This window comes from Homo sapiens, chromosome 4, assembly GCF_000001405.40.
Source record: "Homo sapiens chromosome 4, GRCh38.p14 Primary Assembly".
NCBI classification, from domain to species: Eukaryota; Metazoa; Chordata; class Mammalia; order Primates; family Hominidae; genus Homo; species Homo sapiens.
The window spans coordinates 185159214-185174875 of record NC_000004.12 but is presented as its reverse complement, the minus strand read 5'-3'; the positions used below and the strand labels follow the sequence as shown (position 1 = coordinate 185174875).

The window sequence follows — 15662 nt, the reverse complement described above, 5'->3', positions numbered from 1 at the left end:
ATTGCTGATATTTACTGAGCTTTTACTAAACACTAGGCATTGTTCTGAGTATCTTCCAAATATTAACTTATTGAATCCTGACAACAATTCTCTGAAGTAGATAACTATTTTTATCCACATCTCACGATGAAAAAACTGAGGGTTAGACAGGTTAAATATTTAGCACAGAGCTACTGAGTATGCTGCTGAGCCAAGATTTTAAACCTGGGTAGTCTCTTAAACTAGAATTAGACCCTTAATGAACACGTAAACTCAGAGCTAAAATAATTTAGAAAGCTATTAAAATTATTAAGACCATTTTCAAAATTAACCCTCCTTATGTGTCATTACCAGTGTTTTCCTGTGTAACCATATACTTACCTAAACTTGTAACAACTCTTTTGTACATTTCTTTATTATCATACTAACCCCAAGAGTTGGGAAGCTAGGATTACTATTTATAAAAAATAGTAGTCTTGAACCCTTCAAGAGGATTACCCTGCATGTGGCAAGGAACAGATAACTAAGCTAGGTGAAATGAGGTCGGTGGGAGCTGAGATAGATGATAGCTTTCCACACATCACCTTCGCAGTATTCAAGATTTGTTCATGTTTCGTGGAAATTTGAAATTCCCGTATGTCAAAAACATATGGGATTACTTCCTTTGTTTTCACTCTCACACCTGGCTCTGGGCCGATCGCATTTAATAAGAAATTACATTGTGCATACTATTTTACAAGTGTTAGGCATTAAGTCCTGATAGCAATCTTATAGTTATTGTAGTTACAGAAGAGTAAAAGAGACACTGAGTGGGGCACAGGGACTTACTCAAGGTCACACGGCTAGCAGGTGTCAGAGCCCAGGTGCAAATCCAGGTTGCCTAGCTTTGGGGTTACCTTTTTTTTTAACCAGCTTTATTGAGATATAATTCACATACCATTACCCATTTAACGTGTACACATTCAATGGTTTTGGTATATTATTAAGTTGTAGTAATGTATATATAACTTAAAATTTGCCATTTTAACAGTTTTTAAGTGTCTAATTCAGTGGCATTAAGCATATCCACAGTGTTGTACAACTGTCACTACCATCTATTTCTAAAACGTTTTCATCACTTCATACAGATGCTGTGCTTATTAAACAACTCTCCTTTCCCCACCCCTATCCTCTAAGGGCATCTAGTCTGCTTTCTGTCTCTATGAATTCGGCTATTCTAAATATTTCATATGAGTAGAACTGTACAATATTTGTCCTTTTGTATCTGGTTTATTTCACTTAAAATGTTTTCATGTTTCATCTATGTTGTAGCATGTATCAGAACCTAATTCCTTTTTATGGCTGAATACTATTCCATTGTAGGTGTAGACCTAAGCTATAGTGAATAATACTGAAGTGAATATTGGCAACTATCTGTTCATGTCCCTGCTTTTAGTTCCTTAAGGCCACATAGAGTAGAATTCCTGGGTCATATGGTAATTTTGTGTTTAGCTTTTTAAGGAACCTGGGTTTACTTTTTTTTTTTTTTTTTTTTAAGAGACGGAGTCTGGCTCGTCACCAGGCTGGAGTGCAGTGACGTGATCTCGGCTCACTGTAACCTCTGCCTCCCAGGTTCAAGCGATTCTCCTGCCTCAGCCTCCTGAGTAGCTGGGACTGCAGGCGCCTGCTACCATGCCTGGCTAATTTTTTGTATTTTTAGTAGAGATGGGGTTTCACCGTGTTAGCCAGGATGGTCTCGATCTCCTGACCACATGATCCTCCCTCCTCTGCCTCCCAAAGTGCTGGGATTACAGGCGTGAGCCACTGTGCCCGTTGACTTTGATTATTTTTCTATTTAAAAAATCCTATTAGTCCAGGCCTGGTGACTCATGCCTGTAATATAAATCTAATTATTTATATTGGAGCCTGTTTGACAGTCTTAAATACTACCTTCCTGACCAGAAGTATGGTCTTAACCATACTGCAAGCCTTCTCATACTCAACCTTAAAAAGAGCCACATTTGCTCTTTGAGTGTGAGCCAATGCTTTTTTTTTTTTTTTTTTTTTGTAGAGATGGGATCTCACTTTGTTGCCCAGGCTGGTCTCAGACTCCTGACCTCAGGCAATCCTTCTGCCTTAGCCTCCTAAAGTGCTGGGATTACAGGTGTGAGCCACTGCACCCAGGCTGATAGACTTTTTAATCTGTTTGCTAGACTGTTAATATTCAAAGTACACATGCATATGTTCAGCACACAGAGACACACTTTTGTAGTTATTTCAGTGTCAGATATACTGCAAAACAGAATTCATTCCTTTATATTTTTGATGATTTATATCCTTTCATTTGCTCTCTCTCCAGTGACAGAGAACAATTCAGCTGGCTAACAGACATGATAACTAAAGCATTTCTGTTCCAGAACTCTTACATCAGTGTGTTAGCAATTCAGAGGCTATTTAGATGGAAATAATCCCAGACAAAGAAGTAGTGTTGTGCAGAAAAGGTAGAGAAGGAAGGCAACGATTGTATAAAACTGACTTCTGTGCTCTAGAGTTAAAAGCATACTGTTCATCTGTCCTGATGAGGTTCAAGATCATCATTATTTGTTTCAATAGGTAGATATTATCCTTCCTCTCATTAAACATTGCATCCAAACAAAAATTAAGGGAATAAAAATTATTCTAGCTTATTAGCCTAGCTTATTAGCAAATTTTAAATTCAGAGAAATGAAAATTTTATCCAATAGAGTGTTTTTATCCAGTAGATAACTTTATCAGTAGACAGCCTCAATTATCATTATAATTTAAATAAAATTAGAATTTTATTACTTGTAAAAAGGGGAGTAATTTTTTAACTCATGAATTCTGAAATATTATTTTTAGCCAGGTACAGTGGCTTATGCCTGTAATCCCAGCATTTTGGGAGGCCAGGGCAGGAGGGTTGCCTGAGCCCAGAAGTTCAAGACAAGCATGGGCAAGCAACATGGTGAGATTCCATCTCTACAAAAAATAAAAAATTAGCCAGGTGTGGTGATGCATGGCTGTAATCCCAGCTGCTCAGGAAGCTGAGGCAGGAGGATTGCATGGGCCTGGGAGGTCAAGGCTGCAGAGAGCCGTGATCACTCCACCTCTGCCTCCTGGGTTCAAGTGATCAGTTCAGCCTGGGTGACAGAGCAAGACCCTATCTCAAAAAAAGAAAGAAATATTCTTGTTAAACCATATCTCTTTCTTTTCACTTGAACTTTTTTCCGAATGAGCATAAGAACAATCTTAGCAGAAGGAGAGGTGGTTAAAGATACTTGGTTGATGGTTTCACTTTACCCTCTAAGAAGAAGTGAGATTATTTCATTCTTTTAAATGTGTGTCAGTGTCCTCAGGTGTGAAAGAATGTTGGGGGAGAGAAGTAATTCAAGCAAAGTTATGGAGGAAGTAAGATTCCTAGAGGAATGTAGTATCAGGGTTGGAGCCTAAAGTTAACTAAATGGAGTTAACTTATTTTCCTTTTTTTACTTTCTAAGATTATGTGTGTAAATAAAATAGTCCTTAGTTATTTCGTTGTTCTTGTTTTGGGGGGATTTTTTTGTTGGCTTTTGGAGATGAGGTCTTGCTGTGTTACCCAGGCTGAACTCCTGGGCTGAAGTGATCCTCCCAGCTCAGCCTCCCGAGTAGCTGGGACTACAAGCGTGTGACACCCCGCCTAGCTCATTAGCAAATTTTAAATTCAGAGAAATGAAAATAAATAGACAATAGCCCATCTTTTCATGTAGAAAAATTGAAACAAACAAATAAATAATGTAATGATGATTTCTGTACCTGTTAGCATAATTTTTCCAGTTAGGAGTTCTCGTGTTAGAATTTTGTTTTAAAAATAAAAGGCATGTATGAATTTAGAAACTTAAGGCAGTTCTTTTTTTTTTTTTTTTTTTTTTTTTTTTTTGAGACAAAGTCTTGCTTTGTCGCCCAGGCTGGAGTAAGTGGCTCAGTCTTGGCTCACTGCAACCTCTGCCTCCTGAGTTCAAGCTATTCTCCTGCCTCAGCCCCCTGAGTAGCTGGGATCACAGGCCTGTGCCACCACACCTGGCTAATTTTTGTATTTTTAGTAGAGACAGGGTTTCACCATGTTGGCCAGGCTGGTCTCAAACTCCTGACCTCAGGTGATCCACCAGCCTCGGCGTCTCAAAGTACTAGGATTACAGGCGAGAGCCACCACACCTGGCCTAAGGCAGTTCATAAAAACATTCAATGAAAAATAGGCTGGCGTGGTGGATCACCTGAGGTCAGGAGTTGGAGACCACCCTGGCTAACATGGCGAAACCCATCTCTACTAAAAATACAAAAAATTAGCCAGGTGTGGTAGTGGGCACCTATAATCCCAGGGCTCCTGTAATCCCAGCTACTCAGGAGGCTGAGGCAGGAGACTCACTTGAACCCGGGAAGCAGAGGTTGCAGTGAGGCAAGATACTCGCCTGGGCAACAAGAGCAAAACTCCGTCTCAATAAATAAGTAAAAAATAAAATTATCCTCTTCTGTGCTTTGTCTGCTAGTATACAGGAGTAACTTTATTTTATTTATTTATTTAGACTATCTCGCTCTGTCACCCAGGCTGGAGTGCAGTGACGTGATCTTGGCTCCTTGCAGCCTCCATCTCCTGGGTTCAAGTGATTCTCCTGCCTCGGCCTCCCAAGTAACTGGAACTACAGGCTTACACCACCACACCCAGCTAATTTTTGTATTTTTAGTGGAGATGGTATTGCCATGTTAGCCAGGCTGGTCTCAAACTCCTGACCTCAAGTGATCCATCTGCCTCAGCTTCCCAAAGAGCAAGGATTACAGGTGTGAGCCACTGTGCCTGGCCTGTAGGAGTAACTTCAGAACTCTTATGTGGAATAATTAAAGGGAGATTGTGATAAATTGTCACAAAAATGATTTATAGCAAGTCTCATACCTACTATGAATATTAATCTGTTGATTAACAGTACTTTTGTTCTAAGATCTTGAAATAATGTATACTTTACTTCATTGGGGTTTCCTTCTTGTCTGGTTAAGGTCTGTTATCTCCTTCCGTTGAAGAAAGCAAGCTAATGATAACTCAGTGTGACTCCCACTGTTGAAATGTAGAGAGCAGTCGTCTTGATTCTGCCTGTGTGGGGGACAGTTGTTACTTTTTAGTGTCCTTACAAGGTCTTTGCTTCATCGCTCTAGAAACACTAAAGCAACTCTCCTCTGCTAACGGCTGCAGAAATCATTAAGACATTTATTTGTTTACATTTGTTTAAACATCAAAAGATGGGCTAGGTTAATTTTTTTTCCAAAGAGAATAATTCCTGGATATAAAATAAATGTTTGGACAAGTGTATTAGTCCATTTTCATACTGCTGTAAAGATACTACCTGAGACTGGGTAATTTATAAACAAAAGAGTTTTAATTGACTTACAGTTCTGCAAGGCTGGAGAAGCCTCAGGAAACTTAGAATCATGCTGGAAGGCGAAGCAGAAGCAAGGCATGTCTTACATGGTGGCAGGATAGAGAGAGAACACAGGGGAAACTGCCACTTTTAAGTAACTCAGATCTCATGAGAACTCCCTCACTATCACGAGAACAGCATGGGGGAACCACCCCCATGATCCAATCACCTTCCACCAAGTCCCTCCCTCCATACGTGGGGATTACAATTCGAGATGAGATTTGGGTGGGGACACAGAGTCAGACCGTATCAATAGGTATATAACACAGTATTGTTAACTATAGTCAACATGCTGTACATTAGATCTCCAGAACTTACTCATCTTGCATGACTGGAACTTTGTACCTTGGGTACTTGACATTTGCTAAGAGACTAGATCTTAGGTGTTCTCACCACACACATAAATAAAAATGGTAACTCTGTGAGATGATGGATGTGTAAGTAGCTCAAGTGTTATTTCAGCATGTATACCTATATTAAAACTTCAAGTTGTTTACGTTAATATACATAATTACCCAAAATTGCACCTTTTTTTTTTTTTTGAAACGGAGTCTTGCTCTTGTTGCCCAGGCTGGAGTGCAGTGGCACGATCTCGGCTTGCTCCAACAACCTCCAGCTCCTGGGTTCAAGCAACTCTCCTGCCTCAGCCTCCCAAGTAGCTGGGATTACAGTTGCCCACTAATTTTTGTATTTTTGTACAATGCCCAGCTAATTTTTGTATTTTTAGTAGAGATGGGGTTTCGCCATGTTGGCCAGGCTGGTCTCGAACTCCTGACCTCGTGATCTGCCCGCCTCAGCCTCCCAAAGTGCTGGGATTACAGGCGTGAGCCACCGTGCCTGGTCTTTTATTGTTATTTTTTGAGACAGAGTCTTTCTGTCTCCCAGGCTGGAGTGCAGTGATGCAGCACTCTGCCTCTGCCTCCCAGGTTCAAGTGATTCCCCTGCCTCAGCCTCCCAAGTAGCTGGGATTACTGGTGTGTGTCACCATGCCTAGCTAATTTTTGTATTTTTAGTAGAGATGGAGTTTTACCATGTTGGCCAGGCTGGTCTCAAACTCCTGACCTCAGGTGATCTGCCTGCCTCAGCCTCCCGAAGTGCTGGGATCGCAGGTGTGAGCCACCGCACCCAGCCAAAAAATGCAATTTCTGAAAAAAAAAAAGTGGGCAAACTCTTTTGGGATTCATTATTAGAATCTGATTTGAGTGGCAGTTCTAAGATTTTGTAAACCGTACATTACCATTCTTATTGTTTTTTAATCCATTAAATATTTGTTTAGTATTTGTTATGAGCAATGTAAGGAAGGAATATAAAATACATATGAAATACTCCCTTAACTGTCATGTACTTTAAAACTTAGCTGGGAAGATAATACTGTTGCATGTCAAACAACTAGAAAATACAGCAATATTAACAATACCACTAATTTTAATAAGTTCTTTTTTTTTTTTTTTTTTTTTGAGAAGGAGTCTTACACTGTCACCCAGGCTAGAGTGCAGTGGCACAGTCTCGGTTCACTGCAACCTCCGCCTTCCAGGTTCAAGTGATTCTCATGCCTCAGCCTCCGGAGTAGCTGGAACTGCAGACGTCTGCCACCACACTGGGCTAATTTTTTTTTGTATTTTTAGTAGAGATGGGGTTTCACCATGTTGGCCAGGCTGGTCTCGAACTCCTTACCTCAAGTAATCTGCCTGCCTCAGCCTCGCAAAGTGCTGGGATTATGGGGTGAGCCACCACGCCCAGCCTGAATAAGTTCTTGCTAGATACTAGGCACTATTTTAAGCACTTTAGATGCATTCTATCACTTAATTACTAAAAACTGACTCTGAGGTTATTTCGTTATTAATATCCTTATCGTGGAATTTGATCAAGGACACAATCAGTGGCAGAGCCAAGTGTTAAGCCCAAATCTTTCTGACCATATAGCTTATATTTATTATCACTGTATTACAATCGTTACAGCATTTTGAAATTTTTTGTTTGTTTGTTTGTTTGAGATAAGGTCTTCCTCTGTCACCCAGGCTGGAGTCTAGTGGTGTGATCATGACTCACTTGCAGCCTCGACCTCCTGGACTCAAGCCATTCTCCTCTGCCTCTTGGGTAGCTGGGACCACAGGCACATGCAACCACGCCCGGCTAATTTTTGTATTTTTTGTAAGAGACGGGGTCTCGCCATGTTGCCTAGGGTGGTCTTGAACTCCTGGGCTCACACGATCCTCCTGCCTTGGCCTCCCAAAGTGCTGGGACTACAGATGTAAGCCACTGCACCCAGCCTGAACTGTTGTTTTTTAACTTTTGCATAAGAGTTCTAAATTGATGACTAAATTAAAATGCATACACTTTTGATTTTGGGGCTTACACCAGGGGTGTCCATTCTTTTGGCTTCCCTCAGCCACACTGGAAGGAAAAAAATTGTCTGGGGCCATACATAAAATATGCTAACCATAGCTGATGAGCTAAAAAAAAAAATCACCAAAAAAAAATCTCATAATGTTTTAAGAAAGTTAATGAATTTGCGCTGGGCCGCATTCAAAGCCATCCTGAGCTGCATGCAGCCTGCAAGCCACAGGTTGGACAAGGTTGGTTTACACCTTAAAATTTAGGGTAATCAACACTTTGTATTTTGATATTATTTCTATAGGCAAGAGTTATTTCTCAAATCCTTTAGCTTTTGTTTAGCTTGTTATATTCATGTAACACTCAGATGGACACATGGTGTTGTTCCATGTGATTTGGGTACATGAGCCGAATCATTTCTCTCTTATTTCCCTAAGTTTCTGCATGTAAACTTGATAATTGATGTATCAGACTCCAGAATGGGTTTACTTTTTGCATTATTGTTGATTTTGATCACATCTGTATGTTTTATATGTGATGAATAAGTATTGTAATTTTCTTAAAATTTGTAAAAGAAAAATACTCATCCAACCAAATAAATAAACTTAGGACACTAGGAGTTTAATAGACATTGAGACGTCTACCAGCAAAAAAGCAAAAATGAAAGATAACTGAAAATGCCAGGTCTTCTGTCTTGTCCTTTCCACCCTGCACAGCTCAGTGTGTAGTTAATAGGATAATCAGACAAAACAGCAAATGCACTCTGCTGGTAGAATACACTGGAGATGTGGCCCCAGGAAGTTCCTGCACAGTTACAAACTGCAGGTAGAGAAGATATGATTTCAGGAGGTTTGGACACCTACATCACACTGCTTCTCTGTCCACAATGCAAGAAAGAGGATATGATGGGAAGACCGTGGACTTTACAGTCAGGTGGAATCATGTTGAAATAAAAACTCAGCTCAGCAAAGGGAACCACTAATACTAGTTGGGTAATTTGAGTAGGTGACTCTTTTCTAGCTTTTGAAGGCCAAAAATTAGGAAGGGGCACTTCACGCAGAAGGAATAGCATGCAGGGAGGCAGTAAAGATGTTCTCAGTGGTTCTGTCCGGTTCTTCATGTGTTTTGCACCTCTGCTGTTTGCCTCCAAGCCTCCTTTTGTTTCTATAACAACCTCCTCCTCTCCCTTTTCTAAGTGGCCCTTCCCCTGGATATCTTGGCTTATTCTTCCACCATCTGTTCCTTCTTTGGAATTGCTCAGGAACTCAGCATGGAAGGGCAGGGGGTGAAACTGATAAAACACCAAGTGGAAGAAAAGTTATGGGAGTCGGTGGTGATGTTTCACAACAGTGTGGGTGTACAAAATGCCACAGAACTGTATGCTTAGAAGTGGTTAAAATGTGGTTTCATTTTACCACAGTAAAAGGAAGAAAGAAGAAAAGATTGTACAGAGAAAACTTGTCCTATGACTGAATTCATGAGTCTGATTTTTTAGTGTGAAACTTAGTGCAGGTCAGTACTCCCTTTGCAAATAAGATCAGCTTCCTTCAGAGAAAGTTTGAATGAGTAAAGAAAAGAATAAAACACAATCATGGATCAATTCCCCAAGCTGTTTGGTCTACCTCGGTATTTCTTTCTCAACAATGCCTACGAAAAGCCAACAGGATAAACTCTTTCACCTTTTAAGAAATAGTTATAAACAAAATTTATAACATTCTGCATGAGTCTCTGTTACTGAATTGTAAAAAAAATTACCATGTTATTGGATACTGTGTTGCCTTGGCCAATTGGTATATATATCCTTTTTTAAAATTTATTAAAATATTATTAAAATGGAGATAGCGTTTCGCCATGTTGTCCAGGCTGGTCTGGAACTCCTGAACTCAAGCAGGTCATCCACCCGCCCCGGGCTCCCCAAAGTGCTGGGACTACAGGTGTGAGCCACTGTGCCCAGGCTACATATCTTTTTAAAAACTTTATATTCTATACTAATTGGTTTTCAGACTTCTTAACAGCAAAAGCTTTTTTCTCCAAATTAAATGTTATGCAGAATCTTTAGTATATAAAACAGACAATACAGAAAGCATAGCTGGGCTAGTAGAAACTAGCAGTGGAAGACCCGAGGGCCCTCCCTGCTGGCCTTTCCCCAGTGGCCTACAAGCCCTTGAGGCACTACTGCAAAGGAACAGGGTGAAAGGCACTGCTCTGCAATGTACATGTGGAGAATCTGTAGTAGCTTCCATATGTGTGTGCTCATTCCTAGGGTCTAACACTAGGTTCTTAGCATTATAACTCCTATTACATCATGTCTATGAGAAAATCAGGTTTAGTGTATTTTATTTCAACTTACAGCACCTTTCCTAAGACTAACCTGGCACAAAAGAATTAGGCCTCTAGCAAGCTTGTCTAACCTACCTTATTTTGTTGTTTGTTGTTGTTGTTCTGTTTTAGGCTTTTAGCAGCCTGAAGCCATGGTTTTTAGTTTCTGTCTCTAGTGATATGCAGAAAAGAGAGATGAGGAAGGGGCTTTACTGGCCCAACCAGAAACAGAAACTAAGAACCCATGACTGTATTCTCTCCATTGGACACCTCTGGATGAATTGTTATATCACAGTGGTTTGGTTAGCTGTGGGATAGGCAAAAACCCTTGGATTTTTATGAAATTATATTATTTGAAATGTTTTTCACATGGTATGTCGAGAATGATTTAAGATCTTTTGGCGGGATGTGGTGGGTGGCACCTGTAATACCAGCTACTTGAGAGGCTGAGATGGGAGGATCCTTTAAGCCCAGGAGTTCCAGGCCAGCCTGAGTGACAGAGTAAGATCTTGTCTCTTAAAAAAAAAAAGAAAGAAAGTGAATGTCAGGCTCTAGAATGTATTGCCTTGTTAAAAATGATTGCTGTTTAACCTTGCCTTTCAAATTAATTGTCTTTATTGAAGGCTTTATTGAAAAGGCTTGAGGCCGTGAAACCAACAGTTGGTATGAAACGTTCAGAACAACTGATGGACTATCATCGCAATATGGGCTATCTCAACTCATCACCATTGTCAAGACGGGCCAGATCCACTCTTGGCCAATATAGCCCATTAAGTAAGCATTTTGGAAATTATTTTATACTTATTTGTATCTTGTATCCTTTTTTTAAAAAAACGTAACATGTTATTATGATAGAGTTTTAAATGCCAACTCTGGAATGCGTTCTGTTATTTCCCACTGTCATGTTTTGTTTTATTTGTATTAGTTCACTTAATTTCAGGTTTCATTTACAGCATATAATGACAGGAAGGAAACCAGGAGATAAAACAATCAAAAATATCAGTAGGTTCTTAGGTAATTGAGGAAGGACTGTTAATTTCAAAGTTTATTGAAGGAAGAAATACATAGGTGTGCTGTTTAAAAGCTGCTAAAACATTCTCCTTAGGTAGTTAAGAATCATTGCTAATAGCCTCCAGCCCTTATATGTGCTTTTTCTTACTTACTGGATAACTAAAACAAAAATTAGCAAGCTGATCACACAACAAGCCTTACCGCTTTACAGTAAGCAGTAAGGCTTGTTGTGTGATCAGTTACAGACCTAGCCAGCTGTGTGCCCCAGAGAGTACAGGAATGGAGTGACCATTTAGTGCTGGAGTGTGCAACATCTAGAAAGGCCAGTGTCCTTTACAGAAGTCTCTGCTGTACTTCATGTATGCATTCTAAACCATATAATAAATAGAAGGGAATACCAAACCGCCCGATGCCACAACTTCCCAGCGCCCGCCCTCGTGAGTCTTCAACTCTCAAGACTAGTAGTTCCATTTATTCCTTCTCCAAACCTTGCTTCCGTGGTATAGTGACTAAGAAAGGGTCTTATTTTAGTAACTCATACTTAGCATTGTCCCTAAATGTAGTAAGTTATTTGTTGATTAGATATATAAATGGTTATACAAAGTCATTTTTTTCACGTGAATTATTTGAGAAGCTTTTAAAAATGTTTGTTTTCCACGCCAATCCAGTGAATCAAAATCCCCTGGTGTGGCATCTGGATATGTTTGTTATTATATTTTTTAACTTCCACAGGGAATTCTGAAGTGCATCCTAGTCGAGAATCATAGCATTAGACTATTAGACACACATAGAATGTGGAAGAAAAACTAGTCTGGACTTCAAGTGAGGAGAAGTTTCTCAGATATTTCTTCTTTTTATATTTTCAGGAGCTTCCAGGACATCCAGTGCTACGAGTGGTCTCAGTTGTAGGAGTGAGCGATCAGCGGTTGACCCCTCCAGTGGCCACCCTCGAAGAAGACCTAAACCCCCTAATGTCCGTACAGCTTGGTTATAAAACACTTTTTTACTTTAAACATTGTTCACACAACTTTTCTTGAAGTGCTCGTGCATATTCCTATAATTCTCTGTGTAAACATCTAGAATACCGTTTTAGCAATTGAAGGTGTACAACAGTGAGTTGTAATGTATTGTTATTCAGTGCAAAATTATTGTCAAAAAACGATTTAATGTAAAAAGTGTTTCCTGAGGATGTATTTATATGAGATGTATGTGTTCTTAATAGAGAAATAGTGGTATGCATGTGTATCTTCTAATTATTCAGTTGTCATGCTGTCAAAATAGTAGTGATAGTATCATTGCATGTCGTACCCAAGATGGTCACTATAGTTTTCAATTTGTGTTATTTTCATTTCTTTATAAGTGTTATACCATGAGCTCAGCTCCTAAATTTGGCTGGCTTTGTTTTTCATTTGCTTTAGAACTTATGTGGCATGACATAGCTCGATTGTATGAGATTTAACACTTATTATGAAACAAATCTTGAAATTTGTTTTCACTGGTAGAGCTGATCTAGATTTGATGAGCAGATTGAGAGACGCTTCTATTGGAGCAATTCTTGTAATTCACCAGAGGTATCTAGTTGTTGTATAAGTGCACTGAGTTAGATCTTAAAAGTTTGATCAATCATTCCAAACCATTTCAAATATGAATATTAGAAAGTTCAACTTAGAAGCTTCCCTTTTGTGTTTTCATGCATTCAGGTAAAGTCCTATTTATGACTCTTAGAAATGAGGTAGGTTTTAGAGCTAGTCTTCTAACTCGTGAATAGTTTAAGGACCACATCAGTTGCAAACCAAGTATTTGTTGAATCAGTAAAATGGCACTATCAGCATGAAGAGCCGAGAAGCAGATCCTGAGGTGTGTCGGACAGTGTTTTAGGTAATTCAGTATTTATTATGTTATTAGAGAAGACTTAGCGTAAGAAAGAAATGCTTTAGAAATTCCAGCAAGTATTTATAAGGCCTGAAAAAACTAAAATTTGAACAAAAAGGGAAATAAATCACACATTTGTTGAGGCTGCTGCTTTAAGTATTAGCTAATTTTCTTGTTTTGGTTTACTTTGATTTATTTGATTGAACCCTGGAAGTATTATTTTTACCAGTCCCACATTTAAAGACCTAGTAATCTTGATGGAATTGGTAATGGCAGATAGGGTTTAATGTTGTTGACTTTTCAAATTAGAATTTTTTTTCTATGAAACTTAGGCTTTTATATAACAAAGTATGTTATCTCATTGTTACCGCCGTTTTTCACTACTAGCCTTTTCAGTATGCCCTTAAAATGTATTGGAAAGGTTCCATGTTAAATGACAAATATCTTTTTCAGTATGAATTTTTGATCTGTAGCCACAATAAGATTTTCATTTTTCAGTGCTCAGGCTCTGTAGCATGTATGCTGAATGCTTTTTTCCTTAGCACCTTTAACAGTAAGGTGTTACTGCATTTTACAAAACATCAATTCAACATGTCTTGGATTTAGTTTGTATTCATAGATTTTGTTAAGGATCAGGCCTGTGAACATGGGCACAGTGAGGTTAAATAATTCACCTGGCCACAACCTGGCTTTGAGGTTCTGCTTTTGGGGGCCATAATTTTCATTCAATGTTATTCGATGCTCTGTTCTGGTGAACAAGTTACTATACCTGCTGTGTATATAAGCTTGAGCTATACTAAACCAAGGCTTTATTTTCTTTTGTTTTTTAACTTACTGTACTTTTACTGTTTATATAACCTATATTTCAAGAGAGAGAAGATAATGCTGAATTTTAAATTTAGCATTTGAACATCTGTCCAATAGTGAATTAATCAGTTTTTTTAAAATTGATTTTTAAGTTGTTCCAGAAAAAAATATATATATATGTTTTATATATATAATCTTTTTATATATATAAAAAATCTTTTTTATAAATTTTATTTTAAAAATCTTTTAAAAAAGATTTTTATATATATATAAAGATTATATATTTATATATAGTCTTTTCTGTTCATAATGGCATTAGTCTCTGAGTACATTTTATATTATCTTTGTTGCCACATGTCAGGATACAACACAATAGTTTTATAAATAACAACTGTACTTTGATTTTAGGTACTAATTTAATGCTTTAGTTTTTACTACTTTGAAAGGGGAGGTTCATCTAAGTATTACTGATAACAGGGATCCAACTTAAAGTAAAAGTTGGAAAGGGCAAGAGTCTTTTAAGCGGAACTTCAATTCTGTTGTCATGGTTACTTATATATAATGAATATAAATAGACAAATAGGACTTGGAAAATGTGGTATATTCTAAGTCAAGATGCTATGAAGTTGTTATAGTTTAAGGGACATTCTTAAGAAGGAATTACTTAAGTACATTACTCTTCTCATTTCAAGGACATGAAAAAGTAAAGGATGGTCTGGCACTATTTTATTTTATTTTTTTTTTGACTTGTACTGAATATATGTACTTTGAAGATTTACATCTATAACTAGAAAGTATGCTAATCCGAGGTCTGGTTATTAGGCCAGATTCTTGTTCAGTTATTTTTTAAACTAATGTTGCCTCCTTTTTAGTAAGATTCTACGAAAGTTTTTTAACTATTAAAGTTATTTCTTAAGGGGTAGCTCTTATACTTCCTCTGCTCTCTTTTTCAGTTTCCATAAAAAGCTGTTTTCTTAGCTATTACTCCAAATAAAGTTCTTTGGTTTGCTTAAAAATGTAGTGTAATGCAGTTGTTTTCTCTCCGCTAACCTGAGTGTCCACAGTAGATATCGAGACAGCTTTAGGAAGGTGACGGTCATGGGTAAGTGACGGCTGTGCCTGTCATCTTCAGATTCTTCAAATACTGCAAACTATGAAACATGTTAAGACCAATATAAACCCAAAGATGTGAGTTGATTATACTTTAATAATTACATTCATAAAAAGTTTACTATCTTCAATGCCAAAAAAGTCTTAACCTATAAATGATTATATACAATCTTAGAAAATGTGCTTAACAGTTATGGCTTCTTTATTTCTATGAGGAAAGATTAGTAAGAAACTTAAAATTAACATCCTTTTAAGATTTTCTGTTCCATTTTAATGTATTTTAGGCATTTAGAACTAGCCTGGCATAATGAAGAAAGAAATAAAAGAATTAAAGATAACTGAGTTTTGATCCTATGTTTATCTCTAAAATGGGCTGTCTTGTTCCAATTTTCAAAATTAGAATAATTTTTACGTGCCTTACAAGACCAAGAATTAGTAGGAATAAAGTTGGAAGGATGATGTCAGTTATTTCTGTCTTTGAAAGTATTTACATGGAAAAGAGTTTGCTTAAAATTATATTCTTAATCAGAATTTCTTTAAACTACATCATCTAATTGCTTCTGTAAAATTATTATGGTACTACAATACAGTGGACACTCTTACAGCTTAAAGAAATGGGCTTGTTGTTGTTGTTGTTGTTTGTATTTTTGAGATGGAGTCTGGCTCTGTCCCCCAGGCTGGAGTGCAGTGGCACGATCTTGGCTCACTGCAACCTCCGCTTCCCAGGTTCAAGCGATTCTCCTGCCTCAGCCTCCTGAGTAGCTGGGACTACAGGCACACACCATCATG

The 15662-nt window shown here is 38.1% G+C and overlaps 1 protein-coding gene across 7 annotated transcripts in view; it reads left to right on the top strand.

The window, feature by feature from the left end:
* The window catches only part of CFAP97 (cilia and flagella associated protein 97), a 50584-nt gene extending 35373 nt beyond the window's left edge, over positions 1-15211 (top strand). For 6 of the 7 annotated variants that reach the window (XM_047416016.1, XM_047416015.1, NM_020827.3 and 3 more), the window contains 2 exons: positions 10697-10847; positions 11951-15211. In XM_047416016.1, coding sequence (XP_047271972.1) covers positions 10697-10847; positions 11951-12078 — 279 coding nt within the window. In that variant the 3' untranslated portion in view covers positions 12079-15211. Of the gene's footprint in view, positions 1-4535; positions 5846-10696; positions 10848-11950 lie in introns of those variants that run through there. The other variant, NM_001292033.2, reaches the window with a different exon arrangement.
* The last annotated feature ends 451 nt before the right edge of the window (positions 15212-15662 follow it).